This window comes from Homo sapiens, chromosome 18 (assembly GCF_000001405.40).
Source record: "Homo sapiens chromosome 18, GRCh38.p14 Primary Assembly".
In the NCBI taxonomy this organism is placed as follows: Eukaryota; Metazoa; Chordata; class Mammalia; order Primates; family Hominidae; genus Homo; species Homo sapiens.
Window position 1 is genome coordinate 65,422,373 of NC_000018.10, and position 26,685 is coordinate 65,449,057.

The 26,685-nt window shown below is 35.2% G+C and overlaps 1 long non-coding RNA gene across 1 annotated transcript; it reads left to right on the plus strand.

Moving 5' to 3' along the window:
• Positions 1-1,640: 1,640 nt before the first annotated feature.
• Positions 1,641-25,858, plus strand: LINC01916 (long intergenic non-protein coding RNA 1916). The gene is made up of 3 exons (XR_001753544.3): positions 1,641-1,699; positions 19,318-19,451; positions 24,775-25,858. It is a non-coding gene; the product is annotated as a long intergenic non-protein coding RNA 1916 (long non-coding RNA).
• Positions 25,859-26,685: the final 827 nt, after the last annotated feature.

The window sequence follows — 26,685 nt, forward strand, 5'->3', positions numbered from 1 at the left end:
TCATAAAAATGCAAGATAAAATAATCAACATTCAAATATCATTAGTGTTTCAATAGACTCAAAATGTAATAACTTGTTGCTTTTAACTACGAAGAACTACCAGTCTTTTCTAATTTGCTTGTCACCAAATTTCTCCATTAGATAATTTTTGGCCTTGAACTTCTCATTTTGTATCAAATAAAGACAGATCTTTTGAGGATATCTTCAGAGTTTTCTGTTCTTATGACTGACTGCCTCTTTCCCTGTTGAAAATCCCTGAGCCAGTAATCTGAGTGCTGAGAAAGGGTGGTAAGCTTTGTAATTCTTGGCTTCATTTTTCCCACATGGAACCACTACACTATGGGCCAGCTGTGGCCAAGAAAATTGTGGCCTGCCTGCCTGGTGCAGAGCCTATGCCCTTTTACTGTTTCCAGGGTGATGCACGAGATTTTTGACTTATTTGGCTACATTCATCAGGAATTTGGCATCTGCAACTCAGAGTTGGAGGGAATGAGAAGTACTGATGTTTAGACTCTCATGATAAGATACCGTCTTCTTTGGGAGCTAAATGGCAAGTGAGTCCTGCATTTTTATACACACTTCTCTAGAGTGGAGCTAAGATCAAGCTGAAGTGGGGTTGTAGGAAAGGAGTGAGTCATGACTCAAGTGCTACAAAGAGACATTTCCCATTTTTACAGAGACTTAATAGGTTTTGTTGCATTAATACTTTTTTTATTTAAAAAATTACCTTAGATTCTTGGAATACATTTTCAGGTTTGTTACATGGATATATTGCCTGATGCTGAGGTTTGGACTCCTAATGACCCAGTCATCCATCTGGTGAACCTAGTAACTAATGGGTAACTTTTCAACCTTTGTCTCCCTCCTTCCTTCCCTACTTTTGGAATTCCCAGTGTCTATTGTTTCCATGTTTGTGTCTATATGAACCCAGTGTTTAGTTCTCACATAGAAGTGAGAATATGCGATATCTGGTTGTCTGTTTCTTCATTCGTTCACTTAAGATAGTGGCCTCCAGCTGCATCTATATTATCACAGAAGACATGATTTTATTCTTTTCATTCTTTTTAAAGGCTGCAGAGACTTCCATGCTGTACAGGTAACACATTTTCTTATCCAATCCACCATTCATGGGCATCTAGTTTGATTCCAGTCTTTGCTATTGTGAATAGTGCTATGATAAACATACAAGTGCATGTGTGTTTTTGGTGGAAGGATTTTTTCCTTTGGATATACACTCAGTAATGAAATTGCTGGGTCAACTGGTAATTCTATTTTTAATTCTTTGAGAAACTGCTCCAAATCTCCAAACTGCTTTCCGTGGGAGTCGAACTAATTTGTGTTCCTGCCAACAGTGTGTAATTGTGAGCTTTTCTCCACAATCTCACCAACATCCGTTATTTTTAGACGTTTTAATAGTAAAAATTTTGACTGATGTGAGACAGTAATATGATTTGGCTAGGTCTCCACCCGAATCTCTTCTTGAATTGCAGTTCTCATAATCCCCACATGTCATGGGAGGGAAGGTAATTTAATCATGGGGGTGGTTACCCTCATGCTGCTCATGCTGTTCTCATGATAGTAAGCCAGTTCTCATGAGATCTGATGGTTTTACGAGGGGCTTACCCCTTCACTCAGCTCTCATACTTCTTCCAGCTGCCCTGTGAAGAAAGACGTGTTTGCTTTTCCTTCAGCCATGATTGTAAGTTTCTTGAGGTTTCCCAAGCCATGCTGAACTGTGAGTCAATTAAACCTCTTTCCTTTATAAATTACCCAGTATCAGGTATGTTTTTATTAACAACATGAGAATGGACTAATACAAATAGTATCTTATAGTGGTTGTGATTTGTATCTCTCTGATAATTAGAGATGTTGAGCATTTTTTCATGTTTTCTGGCTGCTTACACATCTTCTTTTGAGAAGTGTCTGTTAATTTATTATATGAACCTAGGACAATTTCCAGAGAATTTAAATGATCAATTTAAAAAAATAATTTTACCAGTTAGGCTTGTTTTGCAAAGGAGTGGGTGTTTAGAGCTCCTTACACTGAAATTCTGGATGTAGAACTCTTTGACTTTGATTTTAAACATACTGAGTTCTATGTAGTTTCTATTTGATAGCAGTAATTATGCTTTCAGGTGATTGAGTGAAGTCCCAATGACTGGAGATTTATATGTGGGATTTTCTTCCTAGAAGTTGGTGGAAAACATCCACAATTAGTAGCAGAAGGAGATGGTGCAGATGCTGTGTTTTAACTCTTGTTGTAGTTGTCAAACTTAAATATTTATAAAAATAGAAATGAAAATGTGTCTGGTCACTGGGGGGGTGCAGAAGATAGAGGGTTTTTCTTGATTATTGCTTTGGTTCTTTATTGACAACAGAATCTAAAGTAGTGGCATCATATAATATGTAATATTAATTAAAGAATTTCAACAATAAATATAGGTGAAAATTTGTTTTCTGACACATGTGAAGGTTTTTATTCTACTGCACTATATGGAGGAATCTCAATAGTAAAGTCTTGTTGGAGATGCAACAGATGGCCAGCTATGAGACTTTCGAAAAGAAAAACAATAACAGAAATATTTGAAAGCAATGATTTAGTAAAAACATTTTTTGAGGAAAAATAATCCTTCTCTAGTTAAAAAAAAGTTTCTTGTGACATGTTTGATCTAATGTTTCAGTTTTGTTTTGGACAGACTCTAAGTACATATAGACTTTTAATAACTAAAATTTGACAATCCTTCAAACAGCATTTTATTCTAACAACATAAATTGACATAATTAGTTAAATATTTTACATTTATCTCAATGCAAAGGATGCAACAAGCTGCGTCTACAATACATAAGATATTCCTGGAGAATATAATGCCTCCTATACTGGTCTTTTAGTAGCATGTTGTGAAAACACATCATCTATAAGATACGTCCTTAAGGTCCAGTAATATATGTTAGTGACACATGAAGAAAAAAAATGCCTATGGGGTAATTAAATTGCTTTCCTTTAATACAGTAAGCAACAAAATAAGTTAATTATGTATCACTGAGCTTGGATTGAGGCATTAGGTGCTTAATTAAAAACTCTAATATGAATACATTTAATTTCCTTTTTGTGTGTAATATGGTTTGGCTGTGACCCCACCCATATCTCATCTTGAATTATAGCTCCCATGATTCGACGTGTCGGGGAAGAGACCTGGTGAGAAGTAATTGAATCATGGGGACAGATGTTTCCTGCATTGTTTTTGTAGTAGTGAATAAGTCTTATGAGATCTGATGGTTTTATAAAGGGCAGTTCCCCTGCACTTGCTCTCTTACTTGCCACCATGTAAGACATGATTTTGCCCCTCCTTCACCTTCTGCCATGATTGTGAGGCCTCCCCAGCCATGTGTGTACAGTGAGCCTATTAAACCTCTTTTCTTTATAAATTACCCAGTCTCAGGTATGTTCTTATAGCAGCGTGAGAATGAACATACAGTGTGTATCCAAAATTATACTGCTAACATTTATTGATCTCTTTATATAGACCAGAAACTCTTCTAAGCACTTTATAATTAATATTCATTAATCAAATTCCTAGAAAGTAATGATATTATTATCCCCATTTTACATATCAGAAAACTGAGACCCAGAGATGAAATAATTTACATAGCATAATAGCTCATAAATGATTTTTTGCCAATATTGCAATTATTTTTATTTTTGTTTTTTACTGATGTAGACAAAAAGAAAATGTTGCTAAGTATCATAAAATCTATTTTTCAGTTAAATAAAATAATGCTAACAGAAGGTCATGTAGTCACAGATTTCATATGGGTCATGTTGGATATAATTCTCTAAACACATTTAGTTTTTGCAAATAATATTCTCACATGTTATTGAATTGATGGCTTGTTTCCTCATGGTACAACTGTAAACTATTTTAGAATAAGACCGAAAAAAGGGACAACCTTATCCAAACTACTTATTATGTGTATATTATATAAATGTTATTGTCATTATATTATTTATTTTGCTTACGTGTCAGCCAGTCAATAAATCTTGCCAGATAATTTTTGATAGAGTTTTGTGCAATCATGTATTAAATGCAGTTTGCTATTATTCAACTTAATGGAAGCACTACTTTATCCAACTGCTGCTGGCATAATAATTTAATTGATAAATATTTTCTTCTGTGTATATTGTGCCTGTGTCTATATATATCCTATATACATGATATGACAATGTAAATTTAATGTGCATTTCTTACACATTTTACTTATAGTCAATTAAAGGCATATCAGATCAGTAATATCTATCAATACTTGTATCAGAAATTTTACCTCAAGAGGGTGATATTGGGTTGACCATATAGTTACACAGTTTATATTTTATATTACATTTGGGGATGTGCTCTGTATTTAAAAATGAACAATTTTTAAAAGGGAAATACATATGACTTGGTTTCTGAAACCAAGGAGAAGAAATCTATCCATCTGTTGGTAATAAACTGTCAATAAAAAATGAGCATTGTGCCTCAAATTCAGCATTATTCTGATCTCATCTTGCACATCTCAACACCAACAAATCCCTTTACTTCTTGAAAGTTAAAATTATGCTTGTTTGAATAATTTACAAGTTTCTGGCTCACCAATAGCAGTATAATCAGGAAGAAAGTAAATGTAATTACACAAGCTATAATTCTCAAACTATATTCCATTGCTGAGAGGCATGTGAAATAATAACTGTACATGTACCTTAAATATTCATTTTATATTCACATTGTTTAAAAATAGTTTCTTTTTCTATTTTTTTCTGCACTCAGCTTTCTTTTGTCACACGTTTGCTTGACCAGAAATGTAGTTAGGATGTGTGCCCCCACTCAAACGTCATGTCAAAATGTAATCCCAGATTTAGAAAGTGGGGACTGGTGGTAGGTGACTGGATCATGAGGGCAGGTTTCCCCTGAATGGCTTAGTACCACACCTCTGGTACTGCCCTCGCTACAGCGAGGTCTCACAAGATCCGGTTGTTTAGAAGTGTGTACCATCTTCCCCCGCTCTCTCTCTCGGCTGTTCTGGCTATGATTTGTCTGCTCCCCCTTTGCCTTCTGCCATGATTGTAAGTTTTCTGAGGCTTCTGCAAAGACAAGCAGATGCGAGCATCATACTTCCTGTACAGTCCGAAGAACCATGAGCCAATTACACCTCTTTTTTTAATAAATTACCCAGTCTCAGGTATTTAACTGCAGCAATGTGAGAACAAGCTAATACAGAAAATTCCTAGCAGGAGTGAGGTATTGCTATAAAGACACCTGAAAATGTGGAAATGACTTTGGTACTGGGTAACAGGCAGAGGGTGGAAGAGTTTGGAGTGCTCAGAAGAAGACAGGAATATGAGGGAAAGTTTGGAATATCTTAGAGACTATTTAAATGGTTGTGACCCAAATGTTGATAGTGATATGGACAAGGAAGTTCAGGCTGAGGAGGCCTCAGATGGAAATGATAAACTTATTGGGAACTGAAGCAAAAGTCACATGTGTTTTGCTTTTGCAAAGAACTTGGCTGGGTTGTGTTCATACCCCAAGGGTGTGTGGAAGTTTGAACTTAAGAGTGATGATTTAGGGTATGTGACAGAAGAAATGTCTAAGAAGTAAAGTGATTAAGAGGTGGTGTGACTGCTTCTAACAACCTATGCTCAGATTCAAGACCAAAGAAATAAGATGAAACGTATATTTAAAAGGGAAGCAGAGTGTAAACGTTTGGAAAATTTGCAGACGGGCTGTATGGTAGAAAATAAAAGCCCATTTTCAGAGGAGGAATTCAAGCAGGCTGCAGAAATTTATATAATTAAAAATGTAGCAAGTGCTTCTGAAAACCAAAACAATAGGAAGAGGTCTCCAAGGCATTTCAGAGACATTCACAGCAGCCCCTCCCATCATAGATCCGGAGTCCTAGGACGGAAGACTGATTTTGTGAGCCAGGTCCAGGGCCCCGCTGCTCTGCTGCAGCCTCATGACAGCTTCCCACATCTTATCTGCTCCAGCTCTTGCAATGGCTAAGTGGGGCCCAAGTACAACTCTGGCTGCCACTCTGGAGGGCACAAATGGCAATCCTTGGTGGTTTCCACATGGTTGTTAAGCCTGTTGGTGTACATAATCCAAAAGTTGAGGCTTGGAAGCCTCCTCCTAGATCTCAAAGGATGTATGGAAAAGCTAGAATGTCCACGCAGAAGCCTGCTGCTAGGGTGGAACCCTCATGGAGAACCTCTACTAGGGCAATGCAGAGAAGAAATGTGGGATTGATGCCTGTACACAGAGTCCTCAGTGGGGCACTGCCTAGTGGAACTATGGGAAGAGGGCCACCATGCTCCAGACCTCAGAATGGTTGAACCATTGACAGCTTGCACCCTGTACCTGGAAAAGCTGCAGGCACTTAATACGAGCCCATGAGAGCAGCCTTTGGGGCTGAACCCGGCAAAGCCCCAAGAGCTAACCTGCCCAAGGCCTTGGGAGCCCCCCTCTGGCACCGGTGTGCCCTGGATGCTGGACATAGAGTCTAAGGATATGACTTTGGAGCTTTAAGATTTAACAACTGGTCTGCTCGGTTTCAAGCTTGCATGGGGCCTGTACCCTGTTTCTTTATGCCAATTTCTCCCTTTTGGAATGAGAATGTTTACCCAATCAGCACTGGTGCCCCCATCATATCTTGAAAACAAATAATTTATTTTGATTTTATAGATTCATTTGTGAAAGCAATAAATTTCCAAATGAGATTTAGGACTTTTCTGTTAATGCTGAAATGATTCCAGACTTTGGGGACTATTGAGAAGGGATGATTGTATTTTTCAATGTGAGAAAGACATGGAGGGTGCTAGGATGGAATGTTATAGTTTGGATGTTGTCTCTGCCTCAATGTCGTGTCAAAATATAATCCCAAGAACATCCTGGCCGACATGGTGAAATCCCGTCTCTACTAAAAATACAAAAATTAGCTGGGTGTGGTGGCACATGCCTGTAGTCCCAGCTACTCAGGAGTCTGAGGCAGGAGAATCACTTGAACTCGGGAGGTAGAGGTTGCAGTGAGCTGAGATCATGCCACTGCACTCCAGCCTGGCAAAAGAGCAAGGCTCCATCTCAAAAAAAAAAAAAATGTAAATCCCAATGTTGGAGGTGAGGCATGGTGGGATGTGATTGGCTCATGGGAGTGGGTTTCTCCTGAATGGTTTAGCACCATGTCCTCGGTACTGTCCTCATGATAGTGAGTGAATTCTCATGAGACCTGGTCATTTACAAATATCTGGTACCTCCCCTCACTCTCTCTTCCCCCTGCTCTGGCCATATGATGTGTCCACTCCTTCTTTGCCTTCGTCTATGATTGTAGGGATTCCGATGCCTCCCCAGAAGCAGGTGCTGCCATGCTTCCTGTACAGCCTGCAGAACCGTGAGCCAGTTAAGCTTCTTTTGTTTTTAAATTACCCAGTCTCAGGTATTTATTTTTAGCAATATGAGAACAGACTAATACAACCAGTTTCTCACATTCAGGTTACAAACACATTTCAAATGCTTTTCTTAAAACTGCAGCTTCTAAGACTTAGCAAGAAAATCATAGAAAGCAAAGAAGAAATATCTGCGATTATGAAATCCATCTCTCCTGGAAAAAGAAAAATTAATTTCTGACTTAGGGTTTTATTTGCCCTTTAAGACACTCAAGCATTGTTTGTTTTAAGAAAGCGTTTGAATGGACATAAACCACCTTCAATTTACTTTTTAAAAAGTTTGTTTTTTCACATAATTGCAATCAGATTAAAAACTGGGGGATTTTGTGTGGTCAAAATGAGTAGCTGAAATTTCTTATAATTTTGACAAATTCTACTTCTTTAATAATTATTCAAGGTAATGAAAAATTCAAATTAGAAATTAGAATATTATTTTTGAGGAATATAGTTTGCATCCAATGAAAAGGACTCTTAAATAGAAGAATTAATCATCACTTTACACATATATCACTTTATAATTTTTTTAGACTTTGAAGTTATAGGAACAGAAGGTGATATTTTCACTTGGAACTCAATTATAAAAAATCAATATCTGAGCATTACCACTGAATTTGGAGAATCTGAAATTCATGTATAAATTTAATAAATGTTTCTTTAATAAAATATCTAAGTCACTACTAGAAGTTCAATGAAATAAAAAGCCACATTAATCTTGTTCATCACTGTAAAGGCAGCTCATAGAAGACTATTTGGCATGAGATAAATAAATAAGAACACAGCAGAGACCATTATTATTAATTTTTATCAGGGAAGGGAAGGATAAATGAAAAGTTGAAAAGCGTATCAGCCTCCTGCTCCAAGAATTTCCAGGCTAATAGGATTGTCATGACAAATGTTTAAGTAACTAAAATATAAGGTTTTAAAGATACACATGAGTGGCTGAAGTCCTGACTTTTAGGAGTTCACAAAAGGAGAGATTATTTTGGAATAGTATTATTAAGTAATTCTTTATGGAAAGTGAGGTTTTAGCTTGATCAGAAAGAATAAACATGGCTAAGTAAGGGAGAAAAAGGAAATAGTAAATAATAGGAAGTGAGGAAAAGTGAAAGATTGAATAATTTGAATATATGTACAAAAGAGATATTTAAACGCACACGGAGGATGATTGGATGGAAAAAGACTTGATGATTGGCAGCAGGGAGGAGGGTCACCTTGAAGAGCAATTACTGGGATTATCTGTAGGTTGAAAAACAATAATCTGTATATTTTCTTGCTGATCACAGCTAATGGCATTATCCCAGATATACCGTGAATATATCTTGTTCAAACTGTTAGTAATTTTAATTTGAGCAAAAATACTACTGATAACTAAGATAACATATAGTTAATAGACTGAAAGGAACTAAGCTCTTAAAATACAAAAATTATTACAAAAAGGTCCTGACCTTAAATTTACTTCTCAGATGGGATATTGTCCTATTTGTAAAGATCTCTTAGAATACACTTTAGTAACACACAATCATGTTGATCAAGCTTCAATGTCAGTGTAGCGTAATCGGTAGCCTGAAAAAAAATCTTAGTTTCCACTTAGAGAGCAAGGGAACCAAATTATACTATTTATAGTCGTAATCACAATCAAAAGAAACGTAGTTCAGTCAGGATCATTCTTATGATAATAGAAATCAGGTACATGAAAAATACATTTCTCTTTTTCTTTAATAACAATCATTTTTTAGAACATGTGAGGCAGACTACCAGCAAAATCCTTGGTGGGCCCATTCTGATGAGCTGTAAGATGGAAAGCATCATGCTGAGGTAATAAAGGTGAAATTTCCTAGGAAGTGGGAGGGCCGATTATTTAGAAATACCATCAGGTCACCTTGCTCATAATTTTCAAGCATGTTTCAGGTGCATAAATTACCAATTCATGGTTCAGGTTCAGTATAATTCAATCTCTGCTGAGTAAAATCTTGGCTTCTAAGTCATGTAAACTAAAAATAATATTTTCAGGAACACAGACTTGAATAACTGAGCTAGGTAGACAAGCAGAAGCAGAAACACCTCCCTCTTATTGTGTTGCTTTGCATTGTAACTATCTGACCCTTATCTCATCTCATCTGTGACCTTCATTTCCCTTTCTCATGTTTAACTTTGAAAATAAAATGCACCTTATACTTGACAGTATTAGAACCATTTGAAATGTTATAGTAAATAAATTCTAAAATATTATATTTAAAATATAAAATACAGGTTTTAGGAGAATTTCCATTAAAAAAATTGGACAACAAATATGTTTCACAATATTTGATGAAAATTTACTAAATATGTGCTAATCCAATTTTTCTGCCTAAACTTGCAAACATGCTGTATAATGTATCACTTGTGTGTGTCAAGGGGAAGGTCGAGCTAACAATAGATTTTTAAAAACTGAATTAGATTAACAACAATTGTTAGCTTTTGATACATTCTCATCATATATGACCTGCTTTTTTTTAACTTCTTTTTCAGTATATTTTCTACTAATACTCTAAAAAGTAGCATATTCACTAACTGATATCTAACCATCTATTCCCTGACTTCCTCCTCCAGTCATGATAATCTCATGATTATCATTTTGTTGTCTATAATTTCATTGACATTCATTTTACCTATATCTATTGCTAACATGCAGTTTTGTGTTTTAGTTGTTTTGATAGTTTCAAATGTGCATCGTACTATGTATAATCTTTTAAATTTTTTTTGCTATTTTTATTTTGCTAAAATTTGTCCTATTGTGTATAGCTGTGTTTCATTGCTATGGAGTGTTATATAACATCCATTGTATTGATACACCTTTGTCGTTCCTATTTATGAACATTTGAATTGCTTCCAGTTTTTGCTGTTGTGTAAAATTCTACTGTGAGCATTGATTTACACATTAGAAGTTGACAAGCATGTATCATTCAAATGTTATATTTTGCTTATATATTAACATGCTTTTTCTTCAAATAAATGTTTTACTTGAAAATTAAACAAATGAAAATGGGTAACATTTATTGTGCTTTTGTGAAATAATACGGTGATCTTATTTAGAGATAATATATTTTATATTCAGCAGCAACATTGCTAATTTTTAAAACTAATGTTTAAATATGAACATATTTTAGGGACTAAACAAAAAAACCAGCTTGAATTAGATAAAATAAAAGTGAGTCAACTGTGAGCCTATAATAAAGGCATTGGTATATCTTACGAAAAATAAGGATAGACATTCCATTGGGATCAGAAATCAAATATCAGATTCTGTCACGTTTTTTCTTTTTTTGTCTCTCCATGCTGCTCTTTATCCATCTGTATAATTTATAATTTGTGTTGCTATTTTACTCCATTTTAAAATGTATTACTTAACTGCTGTCCGAAGTTCCTAGAAAGAAGAAAAATGGTTACATAAATAGCTGTTTATTATATATCCTCAGAGCATTCTACTGAGTTGGTATATTAGGCCTGTTTCTCAGCTTTTCCTAGAGATGGATGGTTATTGGTTTAGATTGTGTCTGCTGACCACAGGCAAACCAACAAAACATGTGCAAAAACTTCTGCCCTACTATCTTATTGTGAGGCTCCCATGATAGTTGTGAGGGTAGGAGGGTATGGGCAGTTTTCTAAAAAGCAGTGGGGACATGCTGGACAGTTAAAGCAATAAATGTCAGCAATCTAGTAATGCCTGTGCTTAACCACCACCTAGCTTCTCAAATTAGTTGTTTGTACTAGGTACTGGAGCATCTATATTTATATGTGTCTATATCTATACCTATACCTATTTGGTCAATTTACTCATATTTGACCAATTTACTCCAGTGAAGGAAACCTTAGCATCATCAAATCATAATATATGTTATTCCTCAGAATATTTCGTGGTTTGACTTCTTAAAGTCAAGCTTATTATATCACAAGTGTTATATTTTGAATAAGAACAAATGGTTGTTAAAGAAACCTGAGAAATTCTTTAATAAAATGCAAAATAGTCAAATATATATCTCCCAATTTTGAAAGCTTTTATATAGCATTTATATAGTATTAGAGCATCCAAAAACAATTTATAAAAAGCTTTTTTAAATTATTTTTAATATCGAGAAACATACTAAGGATTATTACATAAATTTAAATAATATTTATATAAAGTCTTCAATGTCTCTTATTTTATTAGCAAAGTAAACTCATTGTATATGAAATTGTTATTCTAGCAAAAGCCTAAATATTTTGTAATAAGAGTTAAATACTAAATTTCTCTTTGTGCAATTTCAGTTGGGTAACTGTCTCTGACATACATGTTTCATTCTAAAATCAATTTAAGTAATGTGGATATTCTGATTTTTCCTATTACCTCCATGGTTTTGGACAGAATATAAAAGTTAATTGATTGTAAAAATTGAAATGCATCTCTTCCTTCTGTAGCTTTCTTGAAGTTTGCCTGTTCCTCAACTGATCAATGTTTATTTTTCAAAGGCATGTTATTAGAATTTTTGTGTTGACTTTTATAGTTTTAATGATGTCGTAGAATGTCCGATTATTCAAACCATAAGCACTGGAAACACCGTGTCTCAAGTGCTTTCTGTAAGGCGACATTATGAATTTGCAGTGGCTACCTTTTGACTACATGGTTTCTGCTGCCTCTTTGGTTTGGACTTCAGTAGAAGTGAATTGATGAATGAAAGCAGGGGAAAGGAATAAAATATTTCTTTATCAGGTGGCACACAAGAAGCAGAATGGTGGAATTTATGTTGAAATGTGAAGTAGCAGTGGCTACTGCAGTTATATGTGGTTACTGTGGCTGGTGGTTGCAGGGTTCCATATAGACATAATTTTCTAAAATATTAATTTTCTACTGTCTTATTCCAGACTTACAGAGTTTCTTGGAAGTATCTCTAGGCATCCCAGTGGCAAGTATGGGGAAAATGAGGAAGTGAGGGTAGTGAGCTCCAAATAGTTCTCCCCGCTGTAATTGGAACATTCTTTGATTTCCCTGCTTGGTATACTAGACTTCAGACTTTGTAAGGAAGAAATTTATTGTTGCTAAAAGTACCTAAGGAAAACAATCTATTGAAATATTTTTCTATAATCTTTTAGTTATTTTTTAACATCTCATACAGTTGGCAGCAATTGGACTAGAAATAACCCAACATAAATACAAATAAATTTTGAAGCAAATCCTGTGGCTTTAAAGATTATTGTATATAACTTACCGAAAGAATGTTGTATAAGCAACTTTAAATAAATATCTTTACTTGTATTCATTTATATATTTTATAAATAATAAAGATAATAATTAACAATATGTTAAATTTAAGAAAAGATGAAAAGAGACACGCTAAAAACCAAGGAACTGATCTTGTTTAAGAAAATATTCTAGAGGATGAGAAGGGTATGGGTGAAGGGAGGCAGAGGTTGGTTAGTGGATACAAAATTACAGCTGGATAGGAGGAATGAGTTCTGATGTTCTGTGGCACTATAGGGTAACCATAGTGAGCAATGATTTATTTATATTTTCAAATAGCTAGAAGAGAGGATTTCAAATATTCTGAACACAAAAAATGATAACTATTTGAGATGATGGATATGCTAATTACCCTGATCGTTATACATTGTATACATGAAACAAAATATCTCTCTGTACCCCATAAATATCTACAATTATTATACATCAATAAAATAAAATATGAAGTAAAAAGGCAAAAAAATTGTAAAGGAAAACACAAAGCTTCCCTATCTCAGGAACTGAGTGGATGAAATGCCAGCTATTTCAGATACCTCCTTTATAGTTCTGCTCTGGTATTGAAGTCTCATTGAGGTAATTTTCCTGTAATATGTAAGTTGCTATGGAAGAGAGCGCAGCACTGTGGCTCTGAACAGCAGAAAATACCATGTGCGCAGCTGACACAGAACAGCAGGTCTCTAGTATACAGATGATTCATAAATTAAATTTAAAGGCACAGAGGGGCATCATCAAGAGTGTTTGCTAAGTGCTCAAGCTCTGTAGGAAATCATGCAAAGAAAACAACTATGGAGCCTGAGGGCCTTTCCAAAGAGAAGACATCTACTTGGAGAAACAAGACAGTAGGAGCTCTGACATGTAGATCACGAGAGGCAAAGATTCAGGCAAAGGAGGGGAAGAAATTCAAATGAGTTGCTAAGTTCTCCTAGAATTTTCCTCTGCTGCTTTACAAAAAAGCAGAAGGCCAAGATGATTATTCATTTGAATTTCATTCAAAATAAAAAGTATTTGAAAATCTTGTTTTTACATTCAAATTGTGATGACCCAGAAAAGCAAGAAACTTTGATTTTTGTTGTTTGTTTGTTTTGCTTTTCTCTTTGTCCCAGAAACAGGGGAAACTTTTTTTAAAAAAGGAATTTAGTAAACTTTCATCAAAGTTTTAAAAAAAAACAAAGTGAAGAGGGCAGCCGTAGGCCTTGAAATAACAACAATGAAGAACCAGTAGTTTCTTTAAGTCAAATCAGGAAAGTATGAGAATTTTTTTAAAAAGCCTTTTCCCGTGAAATAGATTTGAAACAAACATGAGAGTATCAAGAGAAAAGAGAAGTCACTGGACAAGCAATAATTGATGGTGTCATTGGTAGCCAAATACAACAGAACAAAAGATGGAGCAATATATTCAAGGATGTCCCTTGTGTGATGGAAACCCAACTGTGGCGCCCCCTGACCCCGAAACATTACCAGGTGCTCATCTCTGGAGGAACCACATGTTCAAAACATGACCTAGCCAAGGGCTAACCTCAGAGCCACCTCTCACACTGGGGGCAGCACTGAGCGGAGACCTCAGGGCTCACCTCACCTGCCCATCCGGTTTGAGCCTTGAACTAGTCTACCTCCCATCCATACCTCACAAAGATCATGTCTGATTGTGGTTCTTTAAGGATGGACTCTTGGGCTGGTATTTTCTATTTTAAAAGGAAGATAAAAGACCATTGTATAATCTGGGAATTGTAAAACACAGACCTCCTGGATAACATTTTAAATGAGAAGCACTATCAATTTGGATAGAAGAAAAGGGAGAAGGTATGCTCTCTCCACAATAAATTGATGTTTATATTATAAACAGTTAAAAAAGTAAGGAAAATATATAAATATACTAACACTTAAGTGTTAGTAGACCAAAAAAAATGTTTTTATTAGAAATGAGATTCTGCAAACTATAGACCAGTGAGTTTAAAGTACGTCAAAGTGTAAACTGTTTCAAGTGAATGGTCTCTGAGCACTTACAACAAATGATTGCTAGAAATCAAAACAGATTTAATTAGAATGATTACTGCAGATTAATCTCATTTTAAATTACTTTATGACTAGTGGAATGGTAGTCCAACAGACTATTATAGAGTTTGAATACCTAAACTACAGCGAAGTTCAAAAATCTTACTTTTTTATAAAGAGAAATGAACTACATGCCCAGATATTTAGAAAATGAACACGGATCCCCATGGAATACTATGCAGCCATGAAAAATGATGAGTTCATGTCCTTTGTAGGGACACGGATGAAGCTGGAAACCATCATTCTCAGCAAACTATCTCAAAGATGAAAAACCAAACACCGCATGTTCTCACTCATATGTGGGAATTGAACAATGAGAACACTTGGACACAGGGTGGGGAACATCACACACCAGGGCCTGTTGAGGGGTCGGGGGACGGGGGAGGGATAACATTAGGAGATATACCTAATGTTAAATGACAAGTTAATGGGTGCAGCACACCAACATGACACATGTATACATATGTAACTAACCTGCATGTTGGGCACATGTACCCTGAAACTTAAAGTATAATTAAAAAAAAAAAGAAAGAAAAACATCCAGAAATCATAAACAAATACATAAATATTTTTTAGTATGCAACATGCATTTCCAAGATATTTCCCTCTCTGTGTGTTGGATAACTTATGTAAATTATATATACTGTTTTAAATATAAATTAGCTTTTGGTATATGTTTAGTTTTGGTTCTTTTTTTTCAAGTAACATTATTTTGTAAGCATTTCCCCATGTTACTAATTTTTTTTAAAGTATAGTTATGTCTGCAAAATATTTCATGTATGTCTGCATTATAATGTAGTCACCCATGATTCTACTGACCATTGAATTTCCCCAGTTTTGCTTTTATAAATAATTTTATTATTAACATTGTGGTCAATTTCTCTGGTTATTTCCTTAGAACTTATTGATAGAAGTGCCGGGTGCGGTGGCTCACCCCTGTAATCCCAGCACTTTGGGAGGCCGAGGTGGGTGGATCATGAGGTCAGGAGATCGAGACCACCCTGGCTAACACGGTGAAACCCCGTCTCTACTAAAAATACAAAAAATTAGCTGGGCCTGGTGGCGGGCGCCTGTGGTCCCAGCTACTCAGGACACTGAGGCAGGAGAATGGCGTGAACCTGGGAGGCGGAGCTTGCAGTGAGCCGAGATCCGAGATCGTGCCACTGCATTCCAGCCTGGGTGACAGAGGGAGACTCCGTCTGAAAAACAAAACAAAACAAAACAAAAAAAAGCCAAGAACTTATTGATAGAAGTGAAATTTATGCAGTAGGAATAATTTAAGCCACTTGATTGATGTTGGCAAATTACTTTCCAAAGTTTGTAGTCATATTTACTCATATTAGTAATGTACAAAAGTACCTTTCTCACTGCACCCACATTAGCATTTAGAAGGATATATTTCTAAACCAGTAATGCACTTGACACAGTCTTTAATTAGACCCATAAGGAATGTGGTCTAGATCATAATGTACACAGGATAACACAAAACTGTTCCTTGTGCCTCCTGTAAGAGCATAGTTATGATCTTAAATCCCTGAATACAGGGTCTACTACTGTAGACTCATGAAAATATTTAGGAAAACATTTAGAAAATGTAGGATATTCCTGCCACTTGTATCTCCTTTACACAGAGTAGGATATTGGCTGGAAACCTCCAGGTAGATTTTTGTCTTTGTGAATTTAGCAGAAGGAGAGACTATAAATATAACTTTCTTGTAGACAAGATGTAGTCTGAACAGTCTAATCTATGCTTCCCTGAGATAAAATATGGTACCCGTACCGTGATTTTCCATGGGTGACTTTATGTATTCCCAAAATGATGATGAGAGGTGTTGAGTGCATTAATTGTCCTGGTACCAGCTGCATGGGTGATTCTGAGACTCGCAAAGGTAGCTTTTTCAAGAGACAGAACCGTTTCCTAAGTAATTATTTTAAAAAAGTATTTATATACTGTTTGCCACATGCTTGTTTATGTTAAACTGCTTTATATGTGGTTATTTACTTAATCCCCAAAGAACCCTAAGGGGTATATGGACCTAGAGATAGAGACTGAGACAGAGAGAGTTAGAGATAAAGACAGAGAGAAAAATAGACTTATAGAGATAGAGATATGGCGAGAGTGTTAGAAAGAGACAGAGAGAGACAAATAGAGTTAGAGATGGAGCCTGAGAGAGAGAGTTAAAGATAGAGATACAGATTATTGAGAGAGAGAGAAACAGCGACACATACTGGACACAAACATTTAAGAAAGTAGCCCTTTTTGGAAGTTTTGATTAATGCCAGATGTGAAGTAATTTCCAGGGCCTATCCTGGTTAAGGCAGAGGGATCAGACAGGCAGAGAGAATAGGCTGCCTTACATGGAACATTCTTCTTCTAGCAGAGTGAGTACAACGGTGTCTGCCCATCTCTACCTTGGTTGGTGTTTAAGGGTTTAGCCAATTGTTATTTTGCTCTGAGTGATTTAATGCCTTCCAGTCTGTTTCTCCTTATTTCCTGTGGAATTTACAAGTGTGCTTTTAACATTTTTTCTCTTTCTCAAGCTCCTAATATGTATACTTTGCAAGAACAGTGAAGTAAAAATATACAGCAACACAGAGATCCAGCAAAAGCCACGATTATTGAACCTTTACTGCAGCAATAAACACGCCTTGGTTCTCAGGGTTTGCCTAAACATTTACATCTTGCTCCCTTTACAAGGGGATGTGGGTAGCTGTGGTTAATCTCACAAGGTAGAGGGAAAAGCTAGGATGGAGGCAGGAGGAGAAGTAAGCAAGTCCTAAAGAGCTTTCAAAAATGGCAAACACATCAAGCTTCCACTGTATGTGGTGTACACACCATCTCCCACAGCCCATTGGTCAAAGTGCAACACACAAGCCAACCCAAGTCAAATGGCCAGGGTGGAGGGCCCACCCTGAGATAAGGTGAGCCAGGTATGGTGGCTAGGACATCAGTACTTAACTACGTCCAGGTGTTTTCTCCATGGAACATAAACTTTCTAAAGGGAAAATTTAAGAACTAATTGCCTGCATTGATTTTCTAGCTCTCTGCTGGTGAGGTTTCTGTGTTGCTTTCATTGCCCGTATATCTGACAGCCCATAGTTTTGGGAGCGACATCCAAAAAGCTCCACTGGCAGGGCCTGGTAACTGCTTCTGACCTTATCTCCACCATCCTTTATCCTGGTCTCAGGCAGAGATGTTTGTCAGTGATGACATCCAATTATAAATGCAACCACATTACTAAAGAAGCAGCAGTTTGTATTCTTTACCATAATACAAAAGCCTCACTACTTGTATGTTCCCAAGAAAAACACTGTGACATTTCATCCATCTAATTATTTTACAGAAGGAACACTGTAATATGGACAAAGTTAAAAATTTCATTTCCCCCTTACTATACTGATGATGCAATGTTTTCAAAAATATTATCAAGCCAGGCGCGGTGGCTCATGCCTGTAATCCCAGCACTTTGGGAGGCCAAGGCCGGCGGATCACCTGAGGTCGGGAGTTTGAGATCAGCCTGGCCAACATGGAGAAACCCCGTCCCCACTAAAAAAAAAAAAAAAAAAAAAAAAAAAAAATTATCCGGGCTTGGTGGCACATGCCTGTAATCCCAGCTTTTAGGGAGGCTGAGGTAGGAGAGTCACTTGAACCCGGGAGACGGAGGTTGCAGTGAGCCGAGATCGCGCCATTGCACTCCAAGCCTGGGCAACAAGAGTGAAACTCCGTTCTCAAAAAAAAAAAAAAAAAAAAGTTAACATAGCCAACGTAGGATGCTATTTGTGTAAAATGCTCTAATTTGCTGATATCATTTAGCGTTTCAATAATTATTCCTCATTGTATTTTAATTCTACAGATATATTAAAGCCTTTAATATATCTTTAAATTGGCACTAAGCATAATCTCACTTCCTTTTTTTTTTTCTTCTCAATACAACCATCAGGTCCGGCTTGTTCAGAGCAAGTCCTCTTCAGCAGCTTCTACTGGGCCATTATCTGTCAAAACGTTTGTTGTTTCTTCAGTTCCTAAGTGTTAGGTTCATCCCACCCAAGATCTAGTTCTAAACCCATCATTCCAATATTGCAGTACACAGTGAATATAGAAGCATGTAACAGTCACCTTGTAAGTTAGGATGAAACCAAATTCCGAAATTTAAAAAGCCAATCCCGGCTACTTCTCAATATACATTTTTCCAAGGTTAACAGAATCTTTGTATTTTTTTAATCTTGCTCCATCATTTCAGTCAACCTGGAAAATGTCTTCTTTTTCTACATTACATGTCTACCTAACCAGAACCCTTGATTTTAGAACAGACTGCTTTTTCCTCCACATTAATTGCAACTGGAAAAACTTTCTAATGGGTAGCTAAACTGAAATATTTGGTGATTATCAAATTAGAAATTCTAGAAAAACTTCTGTTCTACAGCGTGGTCGTTTTTTACAAGTATTGGGTAGTGTTTCCCAGTCAAAACAAAAATAAATATTTTCAAACACTAGTATTTTGGAACTTCAACAAAAACTGCTTCTCTTTTCTTCTAGAGTCCTGTGATGTTATGAGAAAAATGATTTGAAAATGAGCTTGAGGTTTCAGCCCTGGAGGCCTGAACAGACGAGCTGGCTGTGGCTAGTCACTCCCCCACCAGCCTTGGCCGTGCACTCATGCCATTCAGCAGGTAGAATGAGATACAAAGTCTGGTTTTCCTTCTGTCTCTGAACACACTTGTCAACTACATTTATTGTATTTTAACTATTGTAGGGTTTTAATAAGCGTTTTTTGGCATTTGGATTTGGGATACTTTTATTAACATTTTTCTTACCTCCTGATGTCCATTATGATGTTCCAGAAACATGAGGGTCTATGATTTTACTCTACTTTCCAGTCTCAAAGTTAGTCTGTAACAATGTTAATGATATTATTAGAAGACAGAAGACATGAGATTCTTAGATCAGAGACAAATGACTTCATCATGAATGTCACAGCAGACAGCATCGGCATCAGCATAGTCAATTCCTCCTGTCTTCAAGTCTCTGTGGGGCAATGGTAATGGTCCCAGATGGAAGCCTCCAAGGCGGTAGGTTACATTACTGAATATGATTCCTTGAGCTTCTAGTGAACCCATCAGCCAAATGGTTAAAACATAGTACCAAATAGGTAGTTTTTCAACCCTCACTCCCCTTCCAATCTCCCCTCTTTTGGAATTGCTAGTCTGTTATTTCCATCTTTATTTACATGTGTGCTCACTGTTTAGCTCCCACTTATAAGTGAGAACATGACATATTTGAGTTTCTATTTCTGAGTTATTTCACTAAGATAATGGCTTCCAGCTCCACCCATGTTGTTGCAAAGGACTTGGTTCCATACTTTTTTATGACTACACAGTGTAGCCTGTAAGTTACTTGAGGGCAATAGTAATGCTCAAACATTACTGGCTTCTCAGTTGTTACTCAGGATACACATTAACCATCAATAAGTAATTAAATCCTAGCTACTGCACAATCCCGGGTATAGTTATACCGAGATGGTATAGTTGTACTGAGATGTGTTTTAGATAGCTCAATAGTCTTTTGATTTCTACAAATGCTCTGGGTTTGCCTTCTGCTATACTGCAAAATGAGTTTTATATTTACCACATAGCATTTATTTCTTGCCAACCCAGCACAGATATATCACCCAAATTAAGCTAAACTACTCCCAGTCACAATTTTGTAACAAAAATGCATCCTCAGTGCATAACACAACACCTAGTATCAATGATTATTTGTTAAAGTTAAGAAAGAAAAGAAGGTAACAAAAAGGGAGGGAAGAAGTAAAAAAGGGAAGTAGAATAAGGGAAGGAAGAAGTGAGAAAAGGAGAAGAGAACGTGTTTGCCTGTGTCTGCCTGAAATTCACAATAATTACCAAATAATTTTTTGGTTGGTATTTGCTTTTGTGTTGAGAGTTAAATATTATTCAGAAGTTGTCCTTTAACCAAACACACAAAAAATAAAGTTTGTAATCCTGAAAATATTCTAGCAAATGAAATAATGGTTTTAGTTTTAAAAGGAAAAATTTATCAAAACAACTTTGTATATCAGAAGTTCAATCCATAATTGAATAGAGATGTTTATAAATCCATGTATAGTAACCTTGAAAATGGTAATGAGACTTGCTATTTGAGCTCACTGAAGCTGAGCGAAAATTTCCAGTTACCTTTTGCAAATGTGTATTTTTGTTTATAGACGCTTGAATAAAATTGGAGTCAATATCATAGACACTAGGTGAAAATGTACACATCTCTTATGGGCTTTACTGATTCAAAAGAGCAAAGAAGTGAAGAAGAATAAAAATATGATCAGAATACACAGGGAATAGAAAGACAAAGATAATGAGAAATAATTTAATAAGGAGGGCAAAAAACCTATCTTCTAACAGATTGTTTTTCTTGCATAAGAAGCTGAATTTATTGGATGTAAGTAATAATTAAATAAATTAATAAAATCCTGGCAATTTGACAAACTGAGGTCCTATGGAAGGAATTTACTTCTTTCATAAATGCACAGAAAAGAATGAATAAAATATCCCTCCAAAATTATACTTTAAAACGATATAATTCTTCACTGGTTAATTAAAGAAGAAATAAAAATATTCAGATAACATAAACCCAGTTAATTACCCACAAAATTATATATATATGACATATATATATATATATGTCTACATAAATATATTGAGTAGACATTACATGTTTTCCTCAATTTGTGAGATTTGTGGAATTTGTGGATTACTGCTTTTTGTTCTCTTTGTTCCTAAGAATGTCTAACCCCTTTCCAGCTGCTTAGCTGGCCTTGGGCACTCTCTCCTGACAACTGAAGCATATAAGACTTGGGCTTTCTATGAAGCAACACACTGTTAAGCAGAAAAATTATATATCTTGTCTAGTACACATCTAACTTTCAATAATAGATTATATTTCAGCCTCTGCCTATCTCTTCACCAGGCTCCCTATTATTTCTTTTACATGTGCATGGTTTAAATTCAGTCAATGATATGCCAAGTTTTATGTCTATACTCTGAATCTTACTAATTCTGTACTCCCCCCTTGCTACCAGAATTTTTTCCTTTGTATTTTTAACTGAACTATCTGCCTCAATGTTATATTTTTGGGCACAATGAACAAATAATACTGTGTTTTTTGTTTTAGTTTTTACCTCTAAAGCCAAGGGAAGATGGAGGGACAATTAGTCTAAAAAAATTCAAATTCAGATTCAAATTCGAACTCTTACCCCTTCCAATTGCAGTTTTTTTAAAGAATAATCTTTCTACCTTATTTGTTCTTTCTGATACATTAAGACATATTTAGCCAGTTTTCATAATTATTATCTGCAGAGGGCTCAAGTGATCCCTTTTTTCTGTCAACATTACTGAAGTTTCTTCAAACTTGGTTTTTGATCTTTTAATCCAGTTCTATAGATTGTTAAATATGAATTTCATAGTAAGCTATTGTTTTATTTCTCATAGTTTACATATTTTTGTCATAAAAACAGTTAAATACATATTTACATAAACATAATAAGTTATACACATTTATAGACATCTGTAAGTGTATTGACAAGAGAATAAGTGCATTCTTTGTTTCTTACATATATGGTATTCTAAGTATATTTTTTCATATTTTGTTGTATGTTTCTTTCTGTGTCTATATGTGGAAGACTTTTAAAGTTTTGTTTGTATTTCTTCATTTAAGGAGAGTCTTTATGTTTGGGAGGAATTTGTCAACATTTCACTTTTGTTTCATCTATTTCTATGTTTATGCCATTAACTAATGATGCCAGGACCATTAACAAATAGAGATTGCCATGAAATTTCATCTAGAGACTACTTACCTCAAATAATTTCAGATTAAAATTTAAAATAGACGTGATTCTTCAACTTTTATATCAGTCATGGTTTTTCTTTAAAAAATTGCCATTTTGTGAAAATGGCAGAAGTTAAAAGCTATATACTAACGGAAAACCTATACACTAAAATTCAAATTCAACCAAGAATAGTATTTCTCCTTTTTTTTTATAAAGGTTCTATTTTAATTTTCTGTTCATTATACAATCATACAGCCTCACAGTTCCATATTTTTTAATAAAATAAAAGTCTAGATATCAGACCTGGATAAAAAATAAATTATTTCTCTTTTTAATTAAAAGTTAAATGACCTTCTTGGAGGAAATATTTTTTTTCCAACTTTATAAATAAGATTTCAGACTTCATAATACAGTTTTCTGATCCTAGTGGGAACTTAATAATTTTTTACTACAACTGAAATGTACTTTGCATATTGAAAACCAAAGCAATACTTTTGTACCATACATATGTACAGAAAAGGAAAATGATAGAACAACAAATACAAAATCAGAAACTAAGATGCATTGGGAAGCATGTCAGGGATTGGGAGGATTATTTTTATAATGTCAAATGATTATTCTACTGAAACCATTTCTATGGTGGTAATATCTTCGTTTTATTTCTCAATTTAACATAATATATTTTAATTAACTTGTAATTTAATCCACGTTTGTTAAAAATAATTTCTTTTTAGGTAGGTATGGTCTAAGAAAAACAGGAACAGAATATAAATATTTCTTTTGTTTTGCAGGACTATGTTGGCAAAATAAATTACTTTAATAGCATAATAAAAAACAACCTTGTTAATTTATACGTGCATAACCTTTTTGTTGAGAGCATAATTGATGAGTCTTGTTGCTATCTTCTAACAGGCCATTCTGATGGGAAGGGTTGGTAGGATTGGGTAAGCAAGAATTTGAAATCATCATCCACCAGCTGAACTTTTTTATTTAGTGATTAATTTATTTAATTCTAAATGTAGTGTTTGCCTCCACTGACTCCTTCATAAATAATTTGTTTAAACTAATTAGAGTAATAAATTAGATTTAAAAAGGTAAATGTATTCAACATCAATGTATAAATCAGTGAAGAAATGTGGATAAAATAGATTTGGAATTAATTTAAGAAACCATTAGCAAAAGAAATAAGATCAAGATGGATAAATAATAAAATGTGTTATTTGATTGGTTCATTATTTCATTTATAGGTCAATAGTGAATTTAAAAAGAAAAAACACTACTACAGCAAAAATGTTATTGCTGAATATGGACTGCAAATATATAGATTATTATATCTATCTAAATCACTCGCTTATATAAAAATTAACATCTTCACATATAATACCTACCTGTTATAAAAAAGCCAATCAATCTCTATTGGATAAGCTCAAATTTATTATAGCAAAGATTCCTAGCCTAGGAATTGAGTAAGAAGTTCTATTCCCTGTATTTTGACATAAAGGGAGCCAGTTTGACAATTGTGCTCTCAATATATATTCTAGGGAAAACAAACAAAAATAGACTAGTCCTAGATTTGCCAAGTAAACATTATGAAGGTGTATTGGCATATTCTGCGTGAATATCCTCCTAAGTTCCCACAGCTGGAAGCATTTGTAATCACAGAGCTTTTATTGCAAACAAGAAGTTAGCAATCCTTCTCTAGCTGAATATTCATCTATCAGTACCTTTGAAGTTAAATACAAAGGAGCCCCAGAATAAAAGGAGAAATCGTCATTTAAAAAATTCATCAGGTTATGATTCTGATAATTTGGCTACATGTAAATTATCGAACTACTTTTTATTTTTGTCAGAATGTTTGGTATTATTATGTAGACACAAACTGTGTTGTTATTTTAAATTTACAACCCTATAAAATACCTGTTCAAATATCCTAACATCTGTGCAGAAGGCAGCTTCTGAAATGACTGTCATGTACACCAGCCTCCAGCTACTCACATCTTTGGGTAATCTGTTCCCCTTGAGAGTGAGTTAGACCTTGTGTCCTGTTTCTAGCAAACAGAATATGGCAAAAATGATGGGACACCACTTCCAAGATTAGGTTAAAAGGATTGTGACATACGTCTCACTTGCATACTCTCTTTGTTGCTTCTCTTTACCAGATTTGATGAAGCCAGCTTTCATGTTACGAGCTACCTCTGTGGAGAAGCCCACATGTCAAGAGAGTGGATGACCCTCTTGCCCACAGCCAGTGAGGAATGGAGGCCCTGAGGCCAATGGGCTACAAAGAACTAAATCCTGTCAACATTCATATGCATGACCTTGGAATCAGATCCCACCCCCATCAAGGCCTGACATGACTGCAATCCCAGCTGACATTTTGATTGTAGTCATGTAAGAGTCCCAGAGGACCCAGTTAAGCTAGGCACAGTCTCTTAATGCGGGGAAATTGTGAAGTAATTAGTACTGTTGTTTTGGGATAATGTGTTACGTAACAAGAGACAGGTGATACAACATCTCTGAGATTCTCAACATGTTTGGTAAAAATAATTAAACTGCTTTTAATGTATATGTCATGATTAATGTTATCTATAATGAGTGTATTAGGGATACATTAATATTCACAAAGACTATATAGCTATTAACTAATTGTTCTGTGGCTTATAGACATAATTTTGGATGATTCGTTCTTTTTTTGCCACTAATAAATATACAAAAACCTTTCATGTTTTAAAATGAATAAAAAGTTATAATTCTGAAGAGGTCCTTTATTTAAATGAAACACACTAAAACCATTGAATTTTAATATTTATATTATGAAATGATCTGCCACTGTTTTTTGTAAGTGTACCTGCTATTATGACTATATTTTCAAGTTAAAGATTCATGACGTTTTTGTGAGAAAATATTTTAAAAACTTGTTAATTTTTTCAGATTAACTACAAAAAATCTATTGTAAAAATTTATAAAATACTAATAATTAAGTCTCTTTATTTTCATGTCAGTGCTCTTAAAATATAGGTTGTTTCAAAGACAGTAGCAATAAAAATGTCAATTCAGAATTCCTTCAGGGATGACCCTAAGTCTAACAGGTATATCCTTTGAAACAAGAAAAATATCTAGCACCTTGGGAAATGAAAATAGTACATTTTTATTTTCTCTTAATAAAATTAACTCAGATTGTCAATTGTTTATTGTTTCTGTTTGATACCATTGAGGTATTTGTTCCAGAGATAAAAATATGTATGCTGAAAATACTGGAAATTTTTGGATGTATTTTAAAACAGAAAAGAACAAGACCAGGTGCGGGGGCTCATGCCTGTAATCCCAGAACTTTGGGAGACTGAGGTGGGTGGATCACAAGGTGAAGAGTTCAAGACAAGCCTGGCCAAGATGGTGAAACCCTGTCCTACTAAAAATACAAAAATTAGCTGGGCATGGTGGCGTGCACCTGTAGTCCCAGCTACACAGGAGGCTGAGGCAGGAGGAGAATTGCTTGAACCTGGGTGGTGGAGGTTGCAGTGAGCCGAGATCGTGCCACTGCACTCCAGCCTGGGCAACAGAGTGACACTCCATCAAAAAAAACAAAAAACAAAAAAACAAGCCCCTCTCCAAGTAAAGCCTTTGTATATATATAATACAATGCTGCTAAAAACTAAATAATGTCAAAAGTACATAGCTTCACCCTTAAAAAGGGCTACAGTATAAACCAGCCAGTAACCAATACCTTTCTGTAATTTTAATAAATATAAAGGTGTTTATTCCATCCATAGTCGTTTTATCCTGGATTAAGACTGTCTCTTCACAGTTGGAAGAACGTTGTTTACTTCGAGAAGCCTTTGACATTCCATCATTCCTTTTAATCTTTGAACTGAAGTCGAGACTTCTGAAGTTTAAAAGATGGCTCCTTAAACCCCAAGGGAAGAATAAAACTTCTTGAAAGGCAGAAAATTCAAAAGTAGAATCTTCTTGCTTTTTAAAGAATGGTGAAAGAAAATCACTAGCTATTGAATAGAAACTCTAGAGCTTATACAAACCCCACTGTCCCACACAGTTCTTGTCAACTAATGAAG